Source organism: Homo sapiens, chromosome 7, assembly GCF_000001405.40.
Source record: "Homo sapiens chromosome 7, GRCh38.p14 Primary Assembly".
In the NCBI taxonomy this organism is placed as follows: domain Eukaryota; kingdom Metazoa; phylum Chordata; class Mammalia; order Primates; family Hominidae; genus Homo; species Homo sapiens.
In genome coordinates, this window is record NC_000007.14 from 90261718 (window position 1) to 90288488 (window position 26771).

Here is a 26771-nt window from a genome sequence, read left to right on the forward strand (position 1 = left end):
GAAAAAAATTTTGAGTAGGCATTTACTGAGGCAAAAATGAAATGGTTTTTTTAAAAATATGGTTCTAAATTTCCTTTTTTAGACTTCAAAATAAGAATAATTAAAACAGTATCTACCACATTTGGCAAAATAGTTGGAATTCTATAGACTTTCTTCACAGAAATACTATAAAGAATATGTTAATAAAGATATTAATCTGAATTTTATTTCTTAACTAAAAATATTAAAGCCATTAAGGGATTTAGCACAGATATTTAAAATTCTGAATCTGTGTTCAGGAAAAATAAAAAACCAGCCTCGTTTTATAGAATCTGCATATGATATCATAAAACTGTGTGGGTAAGTTATCTTTCTTTAACTTTATTTTGTAGTAACATGGAGTATTTTATTATGTTTCTTATATCACAAACATACTATGCATTATAGTGTAGCAGATTGCTACAGAACTCAGAAAACTTCAGTTCATCACTTGATTCCAGCAGTTGGCATTTCAGGTAATCAGTTTGCTGTGGTCTGAGATTGCTAGCCACAAGAGATTAAATTCTAAGTATATTGAAATGCTTTCTTGTAATTAGTTACTCTGAAGTAAATGCTAAATATTAGATGTAACCAAGGAATTATAGTATTTTCAGAAAATCTTTGAGTGAACTTATGGATATGCTTATAATTTCAGTCTAGTTTTTTTCTCTGTCTTTAGAAAATTTGAGTCTCAAAGATATATTAGGTTATATATGTCATGTTTTATTTGATTTTTGAAATTTGAGTGAAGAATAAAAATCACCAATTACATTTGATATATATTTTAAAAATGTAAGTTAGAGATAAGAATTGTAAAATTAACATGTCTTATTCTTTCTACTGTTGGTTCTCTAACAAGTTCTGGGAACTGAGTATATGGTGCTTCCTTGGTGCCACATAGTGGCTAATCTAGGTATATATTAAAATATCCATTTTTAGTTGCTAAATGTAATGTAGTAGGGAGGAATAAACCTTTTGGACAATTTTACCTTCTGAACCTTTCTACCAATTTAACTTTTTAGATAGCAATTATTTATTTTAATATACAAATAATATATAAATAATAGAAAGGTTTAGTAGAATTATGCATACATGATAGGTTCTAACTCTCACTTTTAGATTTACTAGCAATATTTAATATGTAACCACTTAAATTTGTATTTTCTGATATCTGAATAAAATAACCAAAATAATATATTGAATGCCTATACCATGCCTTGCTTTTTAATAGACAGGTACAATGGAAAATAAATGGTTGCTCTGGTGTTTTCAAGGAACAAATTGGAAATTATTATTATATTGACATACGATTATATAATGTAAAACTTTTAAATCTCAAGGCTTTGCAAATCCTAGAATGCCAAGTTTATAAGAATTGCTTTCAACATCTATGCTCCTACAGAGCTCTGCACAAAGTTCATTGTCTATGAAAACTTGTGACTGAATGTTTAATTGTATAATATGATAAATCCTTTTTAGCTGCAGTCTTCATTTTCCCTCATATTTCATAATTATTCACATTGTTAATTTTTTCTACTTTTCTAATTTCAGCTTATGTCTAGATAACTTCTCTATGCCTCACCCTCACTTGTTTCTCTTTTCAAGACATTTTTGGAAGATAAAAACAATAAAAATAGAATAATAATGTCAAGCCTTTCCGTTTTGGCCTCCAAGTAGTATGGTTTTCTCATGGCATTAGAAGTATAATGCTAATTTTTTCATAAACTTTTTGGTTGAAAACTCTTCTGATGCTTTATCTTATAGATTGTGTCCTTTGCTAGAAAAGGAAAAAGTTTGGGAACAAAAAGTACTAGTTTTAGAGTCCTTCACTTTAGAGATCCAAAAAGCAGCTGGATAACAAATATAATACATTATTTGTTTCAAATGACAAATTCTGACAAACACTAGAAATGAACTTCTGTGGCATTTATAAAATTGTCCTTTTTGTAGCTTGCTCTTCAGATATCTTTAAATTCAAATTGGCCTGTATATTGCTATTGATACATCCTCATGTGATAGTTCTCAATACCATTTTCAACTACTTCTTTAATTTTTCTTGAAAAATATGAATTGGCCAAGCGCGGTGGCTCATACCTGTTAATCCCAGCACTTTGGGAGGCCGAGGCAGGCAGATCACGAGGTCAGGAGATGGAGACCATCCTGGATAACACGGTGAAACCCCATCTCTATTAAAAATGCAAAAAAAATAGCTGGGCGTGGTGGCAGGCACCTGTAGTCCCAGCTACTCGGGAGGCTGAGGCAGGAGAATGGCGTGAACCCAGAAGGCAGAGTTTGCAGTGAGCTGAGATCGTGCCACTGCACTCCAGCCTGGGCGACAGAGCAAGACTCCATCTCGAAAAAAAAAAAAAATATATATATATATATATATATATATATATATATATATATATATATGAATTAAAAGTCCTGTCTCTATAGGATATATTGTACTTTAAATAGTACAGGAGGTTCAAATTTTGAACTCATGAAATGTCAAGATAGTTTATATATTTAAAAAATAACTTTTATATTTTCTTTGAAATTTAGACTGACCCAGGTTTATGTGCTGGATCTTTTATGATTTATAAATAAGTTACTTTAAAATAACTTTGGTTATAGAAGTTGTGAAATGCGATTCTAATATAATTAATATTTGTTAACTTGAATGCCTTAATGTCTGCAAAACCATTCTGTTATTTTGTGGATAGTTACTAACCCAGCTAATAAGCAAAAATGCACTGATCTCTAAGAATGAATAAACTATCGATTTTGCCTAGAGTTTTGAAAATTTCAGGAAAAGCTCTTAACCAGTTTTTAAGTTACTGGTGAGCTTAGATCTATGGTTTGTTCCAGATTATCCAATGTCGTACTAACTTTGATATAATTATAGCTATAATTTATTACTATTTTGACCTCTAAGAGAAAGAGGGTTCCTAAGTTTTTTTATTCATGAAGCGATGCAAAATGGCTTTCTTAACCTATGCCTTTTACATCCATTTCTTAATTCTTATAATTAATATAATATTTTCTTTTTGGTCAGTTCATTAGAAACATTTTTTTTCTTTTTTTCTTTTTGATGGAGGCTCGCTCACTCTGTCGCCAGGCTGGAGTGCAGTGGCGCAATCTCAGCTCACTGCAACCTCCGCCTCCAGGATTCTAGCGATTCTCCTGCCTCAGCCTCCCGAGTAGCTGGGACTACAGGTGCACGCCACCATGCCCAGTGAATTTTTGTATTTTTAGAAGAGACGGAATTTCACCATGTTGGCCAGGATGATCTCAACCTCTTGACCTCGTGATCCACCCACCTCGGCCTCCCAAGGCGCTGGGATTACAGGTGTGAGCCACCGCACCCGGCCCCAGAAACATTTTTAATAGTTACAATACTATTAAACTGTAATACTGTGTATTACAACTGGTAGTTAATAATTGTCAATCCCCAGGGCTAAAGAATAGAATATTATTATTAATTTATTCTTTAGAAATGAACTCTCCCCCACTTACAAATGATGCTTCAATTAAAGACTTTATTAAAAATTACTGTTACAATTCTTCATTCTTATTGAAGCTTGCCATTTTTGAAAAAGAAAGTGTCGGATGAAATAACTTATGCTGAAGATACTGCTAATTCAATTGCACTTCTGGGTAAGTTAAGATTTCCTTAAGGTATAGGGATGTAACATACGACAGGTCCTACTGACAAGGGAATATCTATTTTCCCCAAGTTTCACTAAGAGGACTCCTTCTCCATGTCTAGGATCTTCTCTTGTTAGTGAATTAATCACAGTGTGCTTGGTGATAATTCTGGTATTGTATTCTGTTCAGGTTGTTTCGTGATACCAATAAAAGTCCATCTTCTAAGTACAAGGACAGGCTGATAATGTAGTTTGATGAATTATTATTTAGTTTAATGAAGTGTTTGTTAACTATTTTTGTAAATCAGAAAGTGTACATACCCTTTTTAAATAATCACAAAAACATTTCAACTTTGAACTCTAATATTGAATTGCTGCAATCATAGAATTATTCATTAAATGATCTAAAATTTTAAATCAAATCATAAAATAGCATATTAAGAACTTCAGCATAATGCACATAAAGATGCAGATGCCTATATTTTGTACACAAAAATATGAAAAATATCATAAAAGGGTAGGCACTTATGTATGGGTTATCACTTGATTTTCTAGAGAAAGAAAACAATTTCCTAGGAAACTAGATCAGGGAAACACTGGCTCTTTGAGTCAGCTCCTGGGACATGATGGCATGTTCCCAAAACAAATCCTACATTAAATCTATACTTACTAGTTTAGGTCTTTATTTGTACAGGAGGAATAAAAGATACACAATTGATCCAGTGCATTTTTAAAAATATTTACGGAATAATGATGTTCCCAGCATTATACTCCATATAGAAAGATGTTAGAGATTCAACTGGAATGAAGAAAAAAAGGATTTTTATTTTTAACATAGACACTAACCCTTTTATATCTCAGTAGGTTTTATAGTTTTTAGTTACTTTGGGAAAACTACCTAGGGTTCACCTACTCTATATCCTAGAGTAGGTGAAGGTGTTGTTGAGATTAGGTTAAACATGAAGGGGGCAATTTAAAGAAAAACACCTTAGGAAGCAGGCAGGTTCAGAAATATGGGAATTTTTAATTATGTGAATCTCTATCATCAGCAGAAATTTACAATGAGAAGCCAACCCAAAAGAGGACATGGTAGTATTAACAGATAAAAAGTGTAGTTTTTGTTGGTAACATTATTTTTTAAAATACCCCTGTTGCCATTATTTTTAAATATTGCTTCCAAGAGTGTTGACAGTCACTTGTATTATAAATACATGGCTCACTTTTTACTGAGTGTCAACTTATTCTTTGCTTAATGACTGGTACCCTGCCTGCAGAACATGTTACTATCTCATATGACAACAGTATGAACTCTTAACTTTAAATGAGCTTCCTTCGCTGATTACTGACTGCGAGTACTGCTCTTCTGTTTCTTGGTTTTTTTAATGGCTGGAAACATTAATTTAAACTAAAATAATTGTATATAAGATGAAATGTTGAACAAAAACTCTTCATGATTTTAGTTAGAACTTCCAGTTTCTACTACGTACTAATAAGTTATATTACATTTTCTTCCAAATGATACATAGATATTTCTGACTCAGAGGCAAGATTCTGGAAATGGATGGGGGAAGAAGTTGGTACTCTGCCCTGGGATTATGAAACAGGAAGCTATGATAAATTATCTAAATTTACAGGAACTAAAACAGTGGAAAAGCAGACGAAAGACCCTAGAATTTCCCATAAGCCTGCATATTTGGATAGTCTTGTTGGAAAAGCTTAGTTGTTCTTGTTGCCTAATATGTTTTAAAACCTAAGTAGTGATTTTGCAACTCCAAAAGAACAGTCCGAAAAATAAATAAAATTTAGAGTTAGAATAATCTTAAAACTGTCTTTTAAGTGATATCTTTTGCAGAGATTCTCCTGAAGCTAGGGTCAGGCTTTCCTTTGTGCTTCCTCCTTCTTTCCACTTGCCACCCCACTTGCTGACCACCTCCAGAGATGAGCGTCTTGCAAGGGCTAATGCAAAAGAGGAATTCCTAATTATTCTTTTACTCTCAGAGAGTCCAACCAGTTCTAGTTTAGTTCTAAGGTCGATATTACTGACTACCGCTGTCCTTGGGCATTCAGAGAACCTGGATCATTTCCAGAGTCCCACAGATCATTTTCAGATACCCTTGGGGATCATGTTTATAGGACTTCAACAGAGTAGATGCAATCCAGTTTGAAATACAGGCTGAAGCCAATTTAATTGTAGTTTAGATATGACTGAAAACGAACCTTCCTATTCGCCAACCCCATGCAGACAGCTTGAACATAAAACTATTACCCTTGCATGTGGGGCAGCTGCTTAAAAACTCACTCTCTTCCAGTCTGCCAACAAACTGAAGAGCAAAGTTCACCTGGAACTTCTCTAAGCAAAGAATGCATTAGTAAAGGCAAAAAATTACTGACCCTCTAGTTAGGGAGAAAAATGCTAACCCATATCTTGTCAAAATAATAATAGTATCTAACACATGTAGAACTTACAACATGCTAGATGCTTTTCTCAGCCCTTTTCTCATATTAGCTAATTTAATCCTCACAACAATCTTAAATGTGGTAACTATTGTTATACCTGCTTAATAGATGAGAAAAGTAAAACACAAGTTTACATGGGTAGTAAATGGCATAGCCAGGATTTAACCTTAGACAGTCTGGTTCTAGCATTTGTATTAATAATCATCATTCTTTCTTCCCTAGAAAGGAGAGGCTGAATTGATTGAGGGGCCAAATGTATAAGGATGGATTCAGGGTACTGTTTATATGTATGTATGTGTGTGAGCATATGTATAAAAATATGCATATAAATTGAACATGATCCAGTTTGAATCTCTGAGAATATTTTTAATAATCATCATATTATTAACATTTTATGCCTAAATTCTACAAATAAGCTTATGACAGTGTTGTTAAATAGCACCTGTTTATCTTTCTGGCAGGTGACTTAATGAAAATACCAAGTTCTGAATTGAGGATACAAATTTGTAAGTGTATTGTTGATTTTTATCATGCAGAACCACCAAAGAAGCATATTCCAGGTGAAGTTTACAATGGTCTTTCAGTGATAACTTGTGTATGTAGAAAACAGAACATTCTCATATCTCTTTGAATTTGACAGACACAGTGGGCTCATAAATGTAACACATTAAAAAGAAAACTTTTTTGTAGTCTTGAGCTCTTTGGTCATCTTTTGAAAGTTATATATGTATTTTTCAGTTTTTGATTTGCATATTTTTATTCTGATGCTAAATATGAACAAATTTGTAAAGTGATGCCCAATTTAGTTTATTAATAATTATAAATGTTACTATTATGTTATTTAATACCATTGATAAAATTATTTTTTAAACACTTTATAATTATTTATAATATCTGCCCCCACTCAGTTAAATGTTAAGCTACCAATGCCAGGGCCATTCTCCATCCTGTTTGGGAAAATAGTTCTATGTGTTATAGCTAAGGGACCTTAATATATAGTGGTAAATGAGCCACACTGAATTGGTTGGGACCAAGACAGTGGCACGTGCACTGTGAGGATATAATGTTAAGATGTACTTCTTACCTTCATAGTTTCTGTAATTTCTAATCAATCTAGGAAGGGAGAGAGGATATAAACAATAATTTCTTAAGTTATATGATTCTTAATATAGGTGGAAATAAGTGTCTGTGGTAGTTCAAAAGAAAGATTATTTAAGACTAAGGAAAAATGGGAACCAGAAGTCAGTTAAAAAAAGACAATTTAAAAAAAAAAAAGAAATTCAGGGAAAACAGAAGGAAGTCAAAAAGTAAAACAAAAAAATGGAACAGCACCTAAACTAGAGAAATGAATAAGGAGATTATTAAATGTCCAGTTTGAACTGTTGATGAGATAGATGGGGAAGGAGTGTCTTGGTAGATAAAAGATATTGGATACTAAAAGCAACAGGACCAGAAATACAGGTTTGGAATCCACCCAAATAGAGTTGAAAATTGAAGCCACCAGAATGGTTGAGTTTGCCAAGAGATAAAACATATAAGCAGCAAGGCATCAAGAATGACATGGAGAGTGTCCATATTGAGGTTTGGAAAAAATGATTCAAAGAAATTGGCAGTGAAGGGAGGCTCAAAGAGGAGGAAGAAAACCTAAAGACTGCCATGTCTTGTGTGCCAGTGAATCAAATATTTGACAAAGGAGGAGAAAGTTGTCTCAGTGTCAAACGCTGCAGTTTTCTGTAATGGAAGAGTTAAAAGGCCAAGTTAATGTGACACTTGAAAAGTTGTAGTTAAATCTTTGACAGATCTATTGATATAAAGTGGTCAGGGCAGATGCAGGATTAAAGAATCAGAGGATTGTGAGAGTAGAGGCACTGGATTTGAGAGTGAGAGAGTAGTGGCAGTTCATGAATGCAGACATATCTTAAGATCAGATGGTGAAGAAAAAGAAAGAAGATGGAGAACAGCTCAGCTAGTGCAAAGTCAGAGAAAGGTTATTTGGGTTTTGTTGTTTTTAGGATAGGAAGAAATCACATTTGTAGGCAGAGGAGCTAGAAGCTGGTAAGAAAGAAATGGGAAGGTGAAATTCTCAAAGAAAGCACAAGAGGATGGAATTAAGAGCACAAGCTTAGAGTTAACCTTGGCAAAATACAGACGCCCTTCAAAGAAAGGGAAACCAGTGGTGTAGGACTTAAGAAAAAGGAGTATTATGGGGCAAAGACGTGAGGTTGATTTGGTCAGTCTCTGAAAATTAGGAGTCAGTGCTCTCACTATCACACAGTTGGTTTCAAGTGATGGGTATGGCCAGACATCCGGGACCACGGCTGAAAAGTCCTCAGTATGGCAGTTGAAAGAGACATAGCCCTGGAGACAGGAATTAAGTCCATGAGCTTTAATGGTGTTATATCCCTCTGTTAAAATGTACCTGCAATAGAAAAAGATACAGTAAGTATAAAGTACATTTTGGTCCATCCATATGATAGACTATTATGCACATAAAAATCATTATTTTAGAAAACACTTTATAGGATGGGGAAAAGCTTACAATAAAAGTTTTAGTGAGTACAGTAGAATATAAAATTCTGTATACTAGTATGTTGTTAAAATTGTATGCATACATTAAAAATATCACAAGAAATATATGAAAATGTTAATGTTATCTCTAGATTATGAAAATATAGGCAATTTTTACCTTCCTCTTCTTACTTTTTAAATGCTTTTTATAATTCATGAGGTGAGTAGCTAGAGCATATCATAGAAAGCTCATCACAGCATTGGACAGGGCCTTGTCCACAGCCAGAGATCATATTTACAAAGATAAGACAAACTGACAGATACCTCAGAACTAGGGCAAAGTTAAAGAATCTAGTTGGACTCAAAAATCAAAAAGTCAGGGTGTTAGATAAATGAGATCACTAAGAAAAAATAAAGCCTCATCTCAGTAAATGAGGACCCTTTGGTGTTTATTTAATCCCTCTAGTTGAATGTAATTAGGTATACCTGCATCAAAAGGAGAGATAGTATTTCTCACAGGTGCTAAGACAGAAGGAATTTTTATAAGACATGTCACCAAGAATCAAACTTCCCTAAAATACTATTAAATTCACTCACAATTATCAGAGTAGCATTACATTTTTCACCTCTTATTTTATTGCTGACACTACGTAATTGTTGTCCCTTGAAAGTACTGAAGTAATGCATTGAACCTGAACAGTGAAACTGACTAGTGAAAACATTCAGTATTTGTCATTAAATCATTTTCCATTATTGAAAGTCATATCTACTGACAAGAAATATTGTTCTTTTTTAGAATTTAGGATGTTTCCAAAATTCATCGTCCTATTTTAAATACTACACCAGGGATCAGCAAACTCTGGGTCCCAGGTCAAACTAGGCCTACTGAAAACAAAATTGTGTTAGAACACAGCCATGTCCACTTATATTTGTACTGTTTATTACTGCTTTCTTGCTACAATGTGCTATAGAGTTGAGTAGTTGGCAAGAAACCTTATAACCTGCAAAGCTTAAAATACTATCTGGCCCTTTACAGAAAAAATGTGGCCCATCCCTATGCTGCGCAATTTTTAAATTCCATATACTTTTAAAAAGTTTTTCTTGCTGTTGCTTAATAATAAATTACTCATTCTTTTGTCTTAATGATCATTCTGTGAGATAACTGTATGTATTTATTAATGAATTGTTGTTAGGTTACCAGCAAGCGAGTTCATCATACAAGATTCAAATGGCTGAAGTTGGAGGATTAGCAAAAACAATGGTCCAGTCAATGACCTTGCTTGAAAATCAACTTGTTGAGAAACTTTGGGTACTTAAAGTTCTGCAGCATCTCTCAACTTCTGGTTTGTATATTATTAAGTTTAAACACTTCATTGTCAACTACTTTTGTTTATGTCTAAAAATGTCAATATTGTAAAGCACAAATAATTTTTAAAATTTATTTTCAGAAGTTAATTGTACTATAATGATGAAAGCACAAGCAGCCAGTGGAATCTGTACTCACCTCAATGACCCAGATCCCTCTGGACAGCTTTTATTTCGTTCATCAGAAATACTTTGGAACTTGCTGGAAAAATCTTCAAAAGAAGAAGTCATACAACAGCTTAGTAACTTGGAATGTTTGCTGTAAGCGTATGTGGTTAGATAGGAATGTTCTTTTAATCTTAAAATGACAGCCAGTGACATAACTAACATCTTTGTTTGAATCTGTGTTCAATTATGTTTTAGATTCATGTAATGGCTATGTTTCAGGACATCTTTTTTGTTCCATGGTATAAATGAATCTGCACAATAACAAGCCACACTTTTCTATGTGGAAGGCTCTTGAAGTAGCTTCTTAACACTAAAATATAACTTGGAATATAGATAAAGTAAAATTAGACTTTAGAAGAACTATTTCATTTATTTATCCAGTGAATCTATTATTGAGTGCTTACTATCTCCCAGATATTGCAGTAAGCATTAGCAACAAAATGTGCGTAAGCCTTCAAGTTGCTTCTTCACTTATTCAACAAATAATTGTCTGCTCTATGCCAGCTTCAGTATTAAGCCATAGAAATACCACTGAAAACAATATAGATATTGTCTCTGCTTTCGTGGAATTTACATTGTGCTAGGAGGGATGGACAAGTAAATAGACAACTAAAAGAGAACATACTAAATGTTATGAAACAGATTATTGTAAGATGCTACATGTTCTTCAGAAGAAGATCAGTCAGCACATTTTTGTTTGCAAGTGACTAAAAACCCAAATGACCAAAGCAATATAGAAAATTTATGGCTTATTTAACTACAAAGTCAAGGATAAAACTGGTTTCATGTGCAGCTTTATTCAGGGATCAGCAGATACTAGGACTTCGTCCCTCCTCTCTCTACATTGTCTTCCATGGTGCTGGCTTCACACCCAAGCCTATGTAGTAAGACCTAAGAAGTCTACGATCACATCATTTCAACCTCAAATCAAGCAGAAGAGAAACCTTGCTATCCTGAAGGCTCAGAGAAAAGTCTTTGAATTGAGTCCAGTTTGGCCCTGAATGGTCTAATATTGGTCAAATGCCTGTTCCACAGTGATTTATTAGTGCCAAAAGAAAAAATGCTCTGACTGGCGAAAAGGCAGCTGAAGGCAGCCTCACAGGAGCAAAAGTCAGGAAGGAGTAAATGCCTAAATAAAAATAAGAATGCTGTTCTTATAAAAAGGGCAAGTAGGTCCCAGGAGGCAAAGCAACAAATATCTACTATTAATACAAGGGAACCTAACTCAGAGTTGGAGAATTAATAACTGCTTCCTAATGAACTCAAGTCTAGTAACTGAATGACAAACAGGACTTGGTAACAGAAAAGTTTTGCATGCGGAGAGCATCCTAGACAGGGAAAACAAGTGAAAATATAATTAGCAAAATCAGAAAACTAAAATTCAGTATGATGAGAGCAGAAGGAACAGGCTACAATGGTGAGAGATGAGGCTAACAATGTTATCAGGGACCATAACATGAAAGGTCTAATAAGCCTTGTTAAGGAGGTAGGACTTAATCCTAAGAACAAAGAATAGTCTTTAAATGGTTTTACAAAGGAAAATGACATGATTGAATGTGTTATAGAGCTGTCACTTTGACCACCATGTGTAATAGACTGGTTTAGTGGATTCTTATCTGGTACATAGAGGATTAGAGGCAGATTTGGAAGTGTAAAAAATATTAGAAATATGTTCAAATGAATAGTATAATATAAAAAGGGAGATTTTGTTGATAGACATTCAGGAAGTATTTTCATAAAAGTGTGTGTTTTAGTTTGAGCTGCTATAATAAAGTACCGTAAACTGGGTGGTTTATAAACAACAGAAAGTTATTTTTCAGTTTGGGAGGCTAGAATTCTGATATCAGGGTGCCAGTGTGGTTGGGTTCTGATGAGGGTGCTCTTCTGGGTTGCATACTGCTGATCTCTTGTATTCTTACATGGAGGAAAGAGAGCAAGACAGCTCTCTGGAGTCCCTTTTATAAGGGCACTAATTCCATTCATGAGGGCTCATTACCTCCCTAAGGCCTCACTCCTAAAACCATCACATTGGGGGTTAGGATTTAAATATATGAATTTTGGAGGGACGCAAACATTTAGTGTATAACAATATAGTTTTTAAAATATGATTTTACTTTCTAGGGCTTTGAAGGAAGTATTTAAAAATCTGTTTATGAGAGGTTTCAGTCATTATGACCGTCAGCTTAGAAATGACATATTAGTGATCACTACAATTATAGCTCAAAATCCTGAAGCACCAATGATTGTAAGTATGAATCAAATTGCATTAATTTTAATTGTGGAAGTGGTGGGCTTGGGTGAAAGAAGTCCTATATTATGTTGGAATATTTGTGTATTTTCTTGTAATGCTAAGTTATGCTGTAATATCTTGATGGTCACCAGTGTGCTTATCACTCTGCCAATTCTTCTTTGCAATCCTTTGGAAATTTGGAATCTTCCTCATATTGTGTGATTTATACATGTATTTACCACTTATGATGCTTTTCTTTCCTTCCTGATGATTTGAGTTTCCATCTGGCATCATTTCTCTTTCACTGGAAGAACTTTGTTTACAATTTCTTGTGGTGCAAATCTACTGGCTGCTGGCAACAAGTTATCTTAGTTTTCTTTTATCTGAAAATATATTTAATTCATCTTAATTCTTAAAGTCTATGCTCATTGAATATAGAACTCTAGGCTGAAAAATGTTTTTGTTTAGCATTTCAAAGATAAAGTTCTGCTGTCTTATGGAGTCTGTTGTTTCTGATGAGAAATATTCATTGTGAGGTTCCATGGTGTAATGGTGAGCACCCTGGACTCTGATGAGAAGTATCCATTATTTCAAATCGTTATTCCCCTATGTATAATATATCATCCTTTTCTCTCACTGTTTTCAAGATTTTAACTCTATCTTTGGTTCCTAGCAGTTTCGAAATGATGTGCTAAGGTGAGATCTCCTTTGTATTTGTTCTGCTTAGGTTTCATAGAGCTTCTTGGATATATAAATTTAAGTCTTTGAGAAGATTTGGAGAACTCTTGGCCATTATTTCTTCAAATATTTTTTCAGCCCCATTCTCTCTCCCCACTTCTTCAGAGGCTCTGATTACTTTTATGTTTGACTTTTTGATATTGTCCCACAGGTTTGTGAGGCTCTGCTCACTTTTTTCAATCATTTTTCTCTCTATTCTTCAGGTTGGATAATTTGTATTAGTCTATATATTTAAATTCACTGACTTTTTTATTTCTGTCATCTCCATTCTGCTGTTAATCTCATCCAGTGCATTTTTACTTCAGATATATTTTTCAGTTTTAGAATTTATTTTTATTCCTTTTTATAGTGTCTCTCCTGAGAGTTCTTATCTTTCTATTCATTATGAGCATCTTTACTGTAGATTCTGGTATACTCCTCTGAAGAATTTTTAATAACTACATATTTAACTTAGCTGTACTCATCCCTTTTTGAGGTATGGCAGCCCAAATCTTAATTCAGTTCTTGCCTGGGATGCTTGAGTATTCTCTGCACTTGTGTGGTTCAGCTATCAGCCAGATATTTGGGAAGAGTTTGTACACAGAATTTAGCATTCTCTCTCTCTGGCTCTCTCCTTTATGGGATTTCTCCCTTCACTTTCCAATGGCTGTGGTTGCCTCTGCCCTCTGGTTCTTCAGGCCACTAAGACCACAGGGTTACTCTGAGTTTTAGCATTTCCACGAGGTGTAGAATACGGCCTGCTCTCAGGCCAAAAGCCTTTTTTTTTTTTTTTTTTTTTTTTTTTTTGAGACGGAATCTTGCTCTGTCGCCCAGGCCGGAGTGCAGTGGCGCGATCTCAGCTCACTGCAAGCTCCGCCTCCCGGGTTTGCGCCATTCTCCTGCCTCAGTCTCCTGAGTAGCTGGGACTACAGGCACCCGCCACCACACCCGGCTAATTTTTTCGTATTTTTAGTAGAGACAGGGTTTCACTGTGTTAGCCAGGATGGTCTCGATCTCCTGACCTCAGGATCTGCCCGCCTTGGCCTCCCAAAGTGCTGGGATTACAGGCGTGAGCCACCGCGCCCGGCCCCAAAAGCCTTTTTTAAAATGGGAAACTCGTGTAGTGCCATTCCCTTCTACAAAATTCTGACATCCTTCCAGTGTCTGCTTACTCTTGGTCACAAGATAGTTTTATTTGTCACCAGCAGGAGAATTTCTCTCGGAGCTACTACTCATCTGTACCAGAAGCTGAGCCTTCACATATTTTATAATTAAAAATCATTGAATGATTGAAATTATTTAATAGAGATCCTTGGCAACAATATTCACAAGTCAGTCACGTAAGTTCTAGTTGTGCTACAAAGAACTGGCTGTGACGACCTCAGCCCACTAACAGTGGACGTCAAGTAGTCCCAAGAGTCATGGAATTCATGCTGTGCAAATAGGGAAACAGTGCTACATAGTATCCTAGTTAAAGCTGCAACTTATAGGTAGACCTTTGTTTCTCTAGAATCCCCTGGTCAGGTAGTAATTTCTCATTAGTGTCCTTGCAAACATTCAGATGAATTTCACGAATGTGAGTCAAAGGAAATAATATCTTCAGCATCTAAAGAAACCATATAGATCCTAAAGTAATGGGGCTATAAAACTACAAGCTCATAAGCCCAGGGTTTGCCCCTGTAAACTCTCCCTAATGTGCAAAATCCAACTAGGATATCTCTGTCAGGAATGCTGATATGCTAAAATGTTTGCAACTCTGGTGATTCTTCAGGGCTTTTCATGCTAAGTAGGAACTACTTTATTATCTCTTGACCAAACATTTGACATAACAAGAATGGTTGGGGTAGAAGTGGAAGTGTTTAAGAAGAAAAGCTGTTGAGAATAACTGGATTTTCCTCCCTTACTGTGTCATTTGAAGTATAGGTAACGAATTATAGAAGTAACTATAAAGACCTAATATACTTTGGATCCTTAACAATTTTAAACAGACTATTCATAGAATAATATAAAATATTTCTTAGAACCTACAGAAGTAAGTTTAAAATTAAATAAATCTGGCTTATTTAATTTTAAATAAGCTTATCTGGCTATATGTTTTTATTTTTTGCCTCACTCTTTATTACTATTCATGCTTTATGAATTCAAATGAATGACAGTAGGAGAATTTGATAAATGTACTTAAGTAGTAAATATGAGCATCTGCATCATAACTTTCATCTTATTCATTCATCTTTCTGCTTATTTTATGTATTTATATTAGGAATGTGGCTTTACCAAGGATTTGATACTGTTTGCCACCTTTAATGAAGGTAAAAAGAATAAAACTTTAAACTTCTTATAATTATCTTGATAAGTCTTGTACAACATTTAAGCTTTCATTTTACTTTTTTTCCCTCACAGTTAAAAGTCAAAATCTTTTGGTAAAAGGACTTAAGCTTTCTAATTCCTATGAAGATTTTGAGTTGAAGAAATTACTATTCAACGTAATTGTGATCTTATGTAAAGATTTACCTACTGTACAGGTAAAGAGTAATCAAGGCAGGAAAATCAATAAAAATTGTCTTACTTTGTAGTATAACTATTTTAAAGTCTTGACTGTAAATATTTTATCGGTTCATATATTTACCACAGAAAGCAGTAAAATCTTACTGGCCTGAATTTTAGCTTTTAAATTTTTTCTTTGCTTATCTGTTAGTAAACAGTGAAGTACTTAAATTTAAACCACATAAACCAGAGAAAAATAGTAGAACCTAAGAGATTTAATAATACAGTTAGATCTCTTGAATTAGACAGCATAAAATGAAAGAAGCTTCACATAGGCCCATTCCAGCCTAATAATCTGTCTCTGACCATAACAAGGACTGATTTAATGCTGGAGAAAATTATTAACCTCTGTGATGCCAATCTCAAACTCTTATGAACCTGCTTTTTCATCACACAAACCTAATGTCTTTAATCACTTTTACTCTCTATGAATTTATCTTAATACTTTGTTTCCTGCATAACAGCGTGATATAATTTGAAAAATATTGGAACTGAATTTCACTTCTGGCTTATCACCTACTAGCTATGTGGCCTTAGAAAAATTACCTCGTCTATCTGTGGTTCATTTCCTCCTCCTGTAAAGGAAAGATTATAATGCTTCAGCTCTGCTCACAGGTCTATCGTGAAGTTGCTATGAAGGCTTTTTAAACTATAAAGTGACAGTAAATGTATTATTAACAATTCTGTTTAGTTAGTTACTGCATTAAGTGAAATTTCCATTTAATCTAAAACTCTACCAAGCTCCAAGGATTACTATGAAAAAGAAGTAGGAATTCAGTCTATCAACTTCACTACCAATAATAGAAAGATGGGGTAGTCTAGCAGTAAAGGCTTTAGTCAGACAGAATCTCAGTGCTACCGCTTTCTAGCTATGTGGCATTAAATGGGTTGTTTGATTTCTCTAAATCCCAGGTAGCTCAACTTCAACATGGGGATAACACCTACCTCGAGATTATTATGAGCATTTAACTGAGCTGAACATTTTCTTAGTAATGCAACTTTAAGGAATATATATATTTTCAAATGCTCAGGAAAAGAAAAGTTGTCTTTATAATTATAACTTTATTATTTGTGACAAAAAAATACATACTGTGTAGAACCTAAATGTATTTTCCAAAATGCAAATGGAAAATCATTTGGAAAATTATTCCATAAAGTATGGTTTATTATTCCAATACAGTATTATATAAATATTAAAATTAGACCTATAAAGATAATAAAATTTATACTACAGTTTATAAGTCAATTCTAATTAATTGAACAACACTTTATAGGCAACAGAGCCAAGTAGCACAGATTATGGTGAGGAGCTTCTTAAAACACTTTGTGAGCGGTGAAATCAACAATTTTTATGTGTCACATAATTTGTGGTCCAGTAATATTACTAGTAATGATAATGAATATGTACACTATCATTTGCAATACACAGGGGTGTTTTTTGAAACATTATATACTTAATTCTAGCAAGAATGTTAGAACTAGTAGTTATTCCTGTTTTCTCAACTCTAAATCTTGCATTCTTTTCACATGGACTAGTAAGGAACTAGAAAAATTAATTGTTTTTGTTAAAATCTTTATAGAATAATGCCAAATTAAAAGAAAATTAAATATAGCATATGGTGTTTTATTCTCTTGTGAATCATAAATATGTATCCATCAGAATCAGCTGTATTAATTCTGTTGTCATAATAGCTATGCATTTTAATCTCATTTTTATTAAAATGATGGGTTCAATAAAATTTTAAAATACTAGGCATGTAATGAAACATGGCTTGTGACCTAACTGACATTTATTTGGTAGAATGTTTATGTAAGTACTGTTGCATGTGGTTAAATATTCACTGTAGTCATTACCTCAGACAAAATTCTTTTTTATGGTACACAACTGAGTCTGTGAGATATTTCCTTTTAAAAAAAGAGTGAGGAAAGAGATGTCAGCACTTGCCCCAAAATATTCTATGTTTTATTGTACGTTAAAGTAAAATACGTTATACGTTTTATTATACGTTTTATTATACGTTAAAATATCCTATGGTTTTATTATAAGCAGGAACTACATTACATATATGAGCAGCAAAAACAAAAAATTAATACATATTTTATATTATTGTCAGGGAGTACATACCTCAGAAAAGAGGATTATAACTTATTTAATTTTTGGTGTTTTTTTTTTGGTACCTATCATAGATTGGGGTTATTTTATAAAGGAATTATTTTGAAATAATCCCCAATAAAACATCAAAATGTAAATTTTTATTTAATTGCCTTAAAGTATTTTTGGCTATGTTTCTAACAAAGTATCCTTTGTTCTTTCTCACAGCTATTAATTGATGGCAAAGTTATTTTGGCTTTGTTTACCTATGTTAAGAAGCCTGAGAAGCAAAAAATAATTGACTGGTCTGCAGCACAGCATGAAGAATTACAACTGCATGCAATTGCCACTTTGTCATCAGTGGCTCCTTTATTAATAGAAGAATACATGTCATGCCAGGGAAATGCTCGAGTCCTTGCATTTCTAGAATGGTGTGAGAGTGAAGGTGAGTGGCCCTTCAAGATTCTTGTCAAAATTCTAATCTTCATATTTCAACTGAATGCTCAGTATATGCATAGAAATAACAATGAAGTTAATTAAAGCAATGAGAAGTAAAAACACACAGACCTATCTTCTTAATGTATTTATATGTTGTTTTAAGAAAAACACAGATTTTAAAGTCAGACGTCAGTAAATGTCATAGTTGATGCACACCCGAAAGAAATCATACATGTAATTTGAATTTTTGTATTATTAGACCTATCTAAAAATTATATTTGGGAAGAAAATAAATGCTGGCAATATTTTATTTGCTTTGTTTGTTTGTTGAGACAGGGTCTCACCCTGTCACCCAGGCTATAGTGCAATGGCATGCTCATGGCTCACTACAGCCTCAACCTCCTGGGCTCTAGCGATCCTCCCACCCCAGCCTTCCCAGTAGCTGGGACTACAAGTTCATGCCACCACACGAAGCTAATTTTTGTATTTTATATAGACAGGGTTTCGCCATGTTGCCCCGGCTGGTCTCAAACTCCTGGGCTCAAGCCATCTGCCTACTTCGGCCTCTCACAGTGTTGCGATTACAGGCGTGAGCCTGAAATGAATTACAATATTGCCCAGTCTGGCAGTATTATAATGCATTCATTCAACAAATATTTATGACTGCCTACTGAGTACTAGATACTGTCTTAACTACTGAAAATACAGTTAGGCTTAAAATAAATATCCTTTTCTCTATGGAGCTTAAAATCTAGATCTCTAGCCAGAAGTAATGACTCCAGTGTGGTCTACCAAATTAGTAGAGCCCCAATTTATTTGTATTTTGTTTTAGTTCTTAGAAAGGAAATAAGAAATACATTCCTTTTTTAAAAAGTTTTATAAGGAAGATATTGCCTCTTTTCTGGTAGAAATTTTGCTCTGGCAATAATTTTGTATGATGCATTTTCATTAGATCAAGAATATCACCCATTTATGCATGAAGGAGGAAAAAATGATAGGCTTTTTATTCTCTAGTTTCTAATATGCTGAGCTACTAAATTTAGTCTTGTAAAATTATTTTCCACTGAATAAAGCAATTCTTCAGCCTATCCTTTATATCATTTATGTTTGTAGAAGACTTTAAGGCAAAAGGGGAAATGCTGGCTAATAAGAGAAAGACTGATAGCTAATAGTTATTCAGAACCTACTATCTGGTGAGCTTTAAACACCTTCCAAGTATTAAGTCATTTAGTCCTCTCAACAAACCTAGGAGGTATAGGTACTCTTATTATCCCTTTGTATCAGATGGGTAGAACTCAGTCTAAGAAGCTAAATAATTATTCCTGGCCACAAGTGGCAGAGCAAAAATTTAACCCAGGTTCTATAATAGAACCCACAATTTTAACCAACATGCAATACTCAGAACAGTATTTTCAACTTTTTTTTTTTTTAGCTAGAAACATAAAGCTACTTCTAAAAGCAGCTTTTAAAGAAAGCATAGCATAAAGAAGGGAGGATTTGCCTTGCTATTTATCAAGACCTACGATAAAGCTATAGTAATTAAAATTATGTGGTACTGGGTCATGGAGAGACCAATGGCATGGAATATATGAAAGGTTGGCTTTATGAGAGATGATACTGCCAATCAGTGAGGGAAGGGTGGTGTTGGGGCAGTTGGTCCTCCATGTGAAAAAATAAAAATTAGACCTCTTCACTTTGTTTTTTCTAAAAATCAATTGCAAAAGTAATAAATTAAAGATGTAAATATGAAAAGTCATACAGTGAAACTCTTAGAAGAAAACATGGGAAAATATCTTTTTGCTAGATATCAGTGTAGGAAAGGTTTCTTTAAAAAGACTCATGAGTTAAAGGTATAAGAAAAGATCGATGCATTTAACTACTGTAAAACGTACAAATGTCTATTTGACAAAATCTAAGTGAAATACTAATTTACAAAGTGAGAGATGACATTTATTACCCCTGTGACTGATAATAGATTAGAATCCAGGTTCATAAAGAACTCCTATATATCAATAAGAAAACAACTCAGTAGAGAAGTATACAAGGACTAGGGACTGCCATGTCACAGAGAAAACCCCAAATTTTCAAAAAACATTGAAAAACTCTAAATCCTGTTGGCAATCAGATAAATGCAAATTAACAGCAATAAACTACCATTTCACATTTAACAGATTTCGTGGGGGAAAATCAAGGCCAGGTGCAGTAGCTCACACCTGTAATCCCAACACTTTCAAGGCAGGAGGATCACTTGAGGCCAGAAGTTCAAGACCAGCCTGGGCAACATGGTGAGACCCCATCTCTTAAAAAAAAAAAGCAGCTGGTCATAGTGGCACACACCTGTAGTCCTAGCTTCTTGGGAGGCTGAGATGGGAGTATTGCTTGAGCCCAGGAGATTGAGACTTCAATGAGCTGTGATCATACCACTGCACTCTAGCCTGGGCAACAGAGCAAGACCCTGTCTCTTAAAAAAGAAAAATTAACTCATCTTATACATTGTATCTGTATAAACACCTTGGAAAACAATTTAGCACCTTTAGTAAAATTCAATGTGGATGTATCCTGTATTATTCTGGTCACATGGAAAAACTCTTCTCAATGGATATAAGAGGACATGAACCAGAATGTTTATTGTAACAGTTTATAGTAGTGAATGGATAAACTATAATTTATTTATAAAAATGAATGCTGAAACGAATTAAAATTAATAATCTAGATCTACTTGTGACAATGTGAATAATTTTTAAAATAAACATGTTGAATAACAGAAGCAAATTACAAAAGATACATATAATATGATACATTTGAGTAAAATTCCAAAACACATACTTCTATTCTGAGAATAGTAAGAGGGAAAAGGGATAATATTTTATTTCTCTAAAAAAAAACTAAAGCAAATATGACAAAATTTTAACATTTGTTTAAACTTTTGATAGATGTATAAGATATCTGATATATTTGCTTTATTTGAAATGTTTTTGTTTTAAATTATCACTTTTTCTCCACAGATCCGTTTTTCAGTCATGGTAACAGTTTTCATGGTACAGGTGGCCGAGGCAACAAGTTTGCCCAGATGCGTTACAGTTTAAGACTCCTGAGAGCCGTGGTCTACCTTGAAGATGAGACTGTAAACAAAGATCTTTGTGAAAAGGGAACAATTCAGCAAATGATAGGTAAAATATAACATGGTGGTTTACTGATGAAAGAGGAATATTTTTAATAGTAGTAGTTTTGTTTGAAATGTTTTTCCAAAATTTATTTTGTCTTTATGACTGAGAAATTCCTGAATATTTTCTTGATTTTTGTTTCATATTGCTGCTATAAATTAGTGTGTCTTATTGAAATATCATACTTACTAACCCTTTAAGCATTTATTTCTTCAACTCAAATATCATTTCATTTAGGATTATCTTTATCTTTTTTTAAAATGGTCTATTGTTATGTTTTATTCTTTTAGTAATAAAGGTCACCACTTTTGACCAAGGCTTTTGGAGCTATTTTAAAACAGGATAACATGGCATATTCCAATGCATGTGTCATAACAGAACACTGGTACATTGGTATTTACAGAAATGTACAGAGGAGTTTCTTTTCTGATATGAAATATCAGAATATCCTTGACTTTTAGCTTACACTTGACTATGCTAGAAAAGAAAATGGAAATTATGTGTATCATAGAAATACTGCATGTGTTACCCTATACGTCATCAATTAGACACTTAATGAGTATCTCATAAAATAAGTACACATAAACTCAGTGTAAAATTCAGAACCCCTAAACAAAAGCTGCTTTGCCTTTTGTTATTTAAAAAATAAATAGTTCTCTAGATCCTTGACTTTGAAAAGAGCTATTTCAGTCGTTCGTATTCAGTGATTGCTTCACTAGTCAATTATATAATCTGCTAGATGTCAATTAATTATAAATGCCTACTCAAAAAATCTTCTACTTGTTAAATTAAGGTGGTTACTCTTCCATCACTAGTGGAGTGGAGTGGTGCTCTCCAATAATAATAATAATAATATAGGAAATAGCAGGAAATCAAAGTATATTGAAAAGGAGCTAGGTGAAAACATTTACCTTTTTGCCCAGTTTGTTTGGGATGAACAAACCTGAAAGTACAGTTTATCATTCCTGTGCACATTCTGTTGCACAAAACTCAGTCTAACTAGAGGAAATCCAGGAAACGTAATCTTTCATATGTCTAGGAAGAATTCTTAATCCTGCCTGCACTAGGGAATAGGGTAGGGAAAAGGGAAAACAAATAGCAATGGTTTTTTTCTTCTTAGAACCTTTTCCCTTTAACCGGAAAGAAGCTGATCTTTATGTTAAGTTCTTAGAGGCAGGGACCTTGTCTTATTGAGTCTAACATGGCTGTGTAGTAGTAACGTGCTCAATAAGTAGTAACTAGATTTTAAATGTAAATGTTTATACACTTCCTGGGTACAGTGTACACTGCTTGGTGACAGGTGCACCAAAATCTCAGAAACCACCAATAAAGAACTTATCCATGTAACCAAAAACCACCTATTCCCCAAAAACTATTGAAATAAAATATAAATGTTTATATACTTCCTGTGTAGACACTGGGGTTACAAACATGTATAGAGCAGGACACCAAGGACCTTTTCCTTAATGAGAAAATAGAAACTACATGTATCATAGAAAGATAGCATGTGTTAGCCTACACGTCATCAATTAGACACTTAATGAGTAGGACAGAGTAAATGTTACAGAAACTAAGAGGCTTGGGTAGTTTTCAAGGCTAGGAAGTCTTAGGATTCTGTGAGGTAAAGGTAGTTTAGAGGTGGAAAAGAAGAGAAGGCCTTCAAGCAAGGAAATACCATGAACAGAGAGACATGGTCCTGAAATATGCATGGTGATGTGTTCAGAACTAGTTTAAGAGGAGCCAAAGTTTTATGAAGATAAATAACACAAGATAGGTTAATTGTATAGTCAGAGGCCAAGATGGAATGAGTTTTGAGTGATTGACAGTAGTTCGAACTTCATCCTCTTAAGGCATGGAGAGCCTCAAAGGGTTTTGATTAGTGAGGTTATATGTACAATGTTATGTTTTAGGAAGAAGAAACTGGGAGAAATAGAATGATCTATAACAAGGAGAGAATAAAGGCAAGGAGTTGAAGGGTACATAAATATGAGCATTATACTATGTGTTACAGGCAGCAGGGAAAGTTTCTGCCTGCACCCAGGTAGGAAGAAGAATGCTATGATCTAGAAAGAAGAAGCAGAACTATGGCCAGTCAAACTGGATTCCCAGAAGATGTTCCTGATAAAGCGATATAGGCCCCTCTGTCCATGGCATACCCCAGCACTGGGCCTCCAGCAGGCTCAGCTAGCCTCTCTTAGGGTCTGATCCCCCACCTGTAATTCATCCTAATGGGACCTAGAATAGTCAGTCGCTCAGGGCCAGTTATGGAGATAGGCTATGATTTCCATGGCCCTTCTACTTTGGAACATAGCTCCATACTTTCCCACTAATGCCAGTTACCCCTTTAACCGAGAAAAAGTCACTTTTTTTCTTTATTTAAAGCTTAAAAAAATCCTTTTTGAGGCAAAAGTGTATCATGAATATCATTTCGTCAGTGTTAGTGGCCATCTTCAGTCCTTTTCAATTTCAACTGGAAGCAAAAGAGGGATTTTAAAGGACATGGAATACTGTTACCTAAAATTGTTTAAAACACCTTCAGTTAGACATCAAGGAAAGATGCAGAAAGCAATAACAGGAATAGAAAGCACACCTAAAGAGATCTGCCACCTTTGCTTAGAATTGACCCTGTTAACCATGAGGAGAGGAAGAGATTAGGCAAACCACAGTCAGGAAATTTGGTCATATATTTGCAAAGGCACTCATTTCCTACCTCATGAAACTCTGCATATTTTTAAACCCAGTTTGCTGAGCAAAGTGTCAGGTTATTGGGGCATCCTTTAATGACATACTGTTAATTCTGAACTAGAATTTCTATATATGTGAGGCTATGGATTACATTCAGAAATTCTATATATGTAGGTAGGGCTACTGATTGTATTGAAAGCTCCAGGAATTCATTTATCATCTTCTTTTCACAGCCTCTAGGTTACTATGCAATGAAAATATCCTCTTCTAAAATAGTTTTTCTAGGCTGGGCATGGTCGTGCACGCCTGTAATCCCAACACTTTGCAAGGCCGAGGCAGGAGGATTACTTGAGCTGAGGAATTCAAGATTAGCCTAGGCAACATAATGAGACCCTGTCTCTTTATAACAAATAAAAATAAATAAGTAAATAAAATAAAAGTTTCTCTAGCCAAATAAACTTTTTAGAAGAGATTTCCAAACAGTAATTGATCAAAATAAAAGTAGTGTCCAATAACTATACAGTCTTTAAATGTTTTCATACCAGGAATCTTTAAAAATATAATAAGCAAGCCTAATGAAAAGGAAGAAGCCATTGTTTTGGAAATCCAGTCTGATATATTACTTATCCTATCTGGCCTTTGTGAGAATCACATTCAAAGGAAGGTATGTATGCCTGTGAAAGTTTTGTTCAGGTCTCCCAGTCACCTAACACTATAAACTATTTTTGGAAGTCTCTATAATTGTATTTAATTTTGTGAAAATTTAATATTTTTGTTAATAATTAGAGCATAATTATATAAAGTAAAAGGTACAGAATATACAACAGTATACACCCATTTAACTCATACCCCCAATTAAAACAGAGAATATTTCTATCTCTATAAAATTTCCTCATCCCATTAGAAGCCATGCCCCTACTCACTTCCAGACAAACTACTGTTCTGTTTTCTATTCCTATAGGTTGGTTTTCCCTATTCTTTAAGTTTATATCAATGGAATCGCACAATATTTACTCTTTTATGTCTGGATTCTGTCACCCAGCATCATATTTTAGAAATATATCCATGTTGGCCGGGCATGGTGGCTCAGGCCTGTAATCTCAGCACTTTGGGAGGCTGAGGCAGGTGGATTGCCTGAGGTCAGGAGTTTGAGACCAGCCTGGCCAACATGGTGAAACCTCATATCTACTAAAAATACAAAAATTAGCCAGGCGTTGTGGTGTGCGCCTGTAATCTCAGTTACTCGGGAGGCTGAGGCACGAGAATTGCTTGAACCTAGGAGGTAGGTTACAGTGAGCCCAGATCTCACCACTGCACTCCAGCCTAGGTGACGCAGTGAGACTCCATCTGAAAAAAAAAAAAAAAAAAAGATAGAAATATATCCATGTCATTGCATGTATCAATAATTCATTTCTTTTTATTGCTAAATAGTATTCCATTGTGTGACTATGCCAAAATGTGTTTATCTGTTCCCCTATTGATAGATAGGCACTTGGGTTGTTTTTATTTACAGCTATAATGAATAAAGCTTCAGTGAATATTCTTGTACTAGTCTTTACTAGTGGGTATAATGCTTTCATTTCTCTCGGGTAAGTATCTACAATTGGAATTGATGTATCATAAAGTAGGTGTATCTTTATAAGAAACTGCCAAACAGTTTTCCAGAGTGGGCTGTACCATTTTAAATGTTGTTTGGGGTTTGAATTGGGTTCAAACCCAAAGCCAAAATTTAGAACGAGATCTTAATCCCCTTTTATCTTTTTTAGCTCCATAGTGAACTCTGAGTCTCAGAGATTGATAATTTAAATGTTAAATAGCAAGGGATGGAATTGGAAAGATAAAAACAAAAAAATGATGGTTTCAATAGATAGATTTTAAGTGAACGCCTGTTTAGCTCCAAGCTTTGATGCAATTTCTCATCATATTCTACCACCCTGTGCCTGGGCTCCTCTGGAAAAATAATCATAATCTTGCTTACTGGGAACCAGAACTGAACAGCAAGGCAATAAGAAAGGTAATTAGTAAGAGAAAAATATTAAGTGGTTAAAACTTCACAAAAATTATTAAATGTTTTAACTACATTTATATCTTATTTCTCTCGGGGTCATTAGAAAATCTTGCATGATAGTTCTTACTATCTAAGAATTGATCTGACATAATGCTAGACTGCATTGATTATAATATTGAAGAAAATCAAGGTACAAATTTTATGACTTCTTTTAGGAGAAAGGGAATAAAACAAAAAATATCAAGGGATATTATTAAGCTGGCATGTTGATTGATGCCCCCTCTTAAAATGATTAATTTTATAATAATTTGTTTTAAATTCCTGAGAACAAGTAAGTACGGTTTTTTAAATTGCAGTAAAAATAGTATTTTTCTAACAATGTTGCTGTATTTCTCTGGTAAAAAAGCAATATTAGGGGACCGATAAAGTAGGAAAGGGAGGAATTATTTATTTATTTCAAGAAATAATTTAAAACAAATATCTTAAACAGGAAATTTTCGGAACTGAAGGAGTAGATATCGTTCTTCATGTGATGAAAACAGACCCCAGGAAGTTACAGAGTGGCTTAGGCTATAATGTACTTCTTTTTAGTACATTGGACAGCATTTGGTGAGTATTGCTATAATCAAATTAGGTAGACTCACAGCAGTCATGCATCACTTTACAACAGTGAGGATACTTTCTGAGAAATGTTTCCTTAGGCAATTTCATCTTATGCAAACATTATAGGATGTAGTTACACAAA

At 34.2% G+C, this 26771-nt stretch overlaps 1 protein-coding gene across 30 annotated transcripts in view; it reads left to right on the plus strand.

Annotated features, from left to right (window-relative positions):
• Nucleotides 1–26771, plus strand: part of CFAP69 (cilia and flagella associated protein 69) — a 78550-nt gene that overhangs the window by 16544 nt on the left and 35235 nt on the right. For 14 of the 30 annotated variants that reach the window (XR_927530.2, XR_927531.3, XM_011516577.3 and 11 more), the window contains exons 4-15: nt 230–339; nt 3584–3660; nt 6569–6667; nt 9809–9958; nt 10064–10241; nt 12270–12393; nt 15356–15404; nt 15496–15617; nt 17960–18176; nt 21175–21339; nt 24564–24682; nt 26517–26635. Coding sequence is in view for 28 of the 30 variants with exons in the window: in XM_011516577.3 (XP_011514879.1) it covers nt 230–339; nt 3584–3660; nt 6569–6667; nt 9809–9958; nt 10064–10241; nt 12270–12393; nt 15356–15404; nt 15496–15617; nt 17960–18176; nt 21175–21339; nt 24564–24682; nt 26517–26635 (1529 nt within the window). In the remaining 2 variants the exon portion in view is untranslated. Of the gene's footprint in view, nt 1–229; nt 340–371; nt 495–3583; nt 3661–6568; nt 6668–9808; nt 9959–10063; nt 10242–12269; nt 12394–15355; nt 15405–15495; nt 15618–17959; nt 18177–20340; nt 20434–21174; nt 21340–24563; nt 24683–25784; nt 25855–26006; nt 26033–26516; nt 26640–26771 lie in introns of those variants that run through there. The other 16 variants (XM_017012624.2, NM_001160138.2, XM_047420845.1 and 13 more) reach the window with 11 other exon arrangements.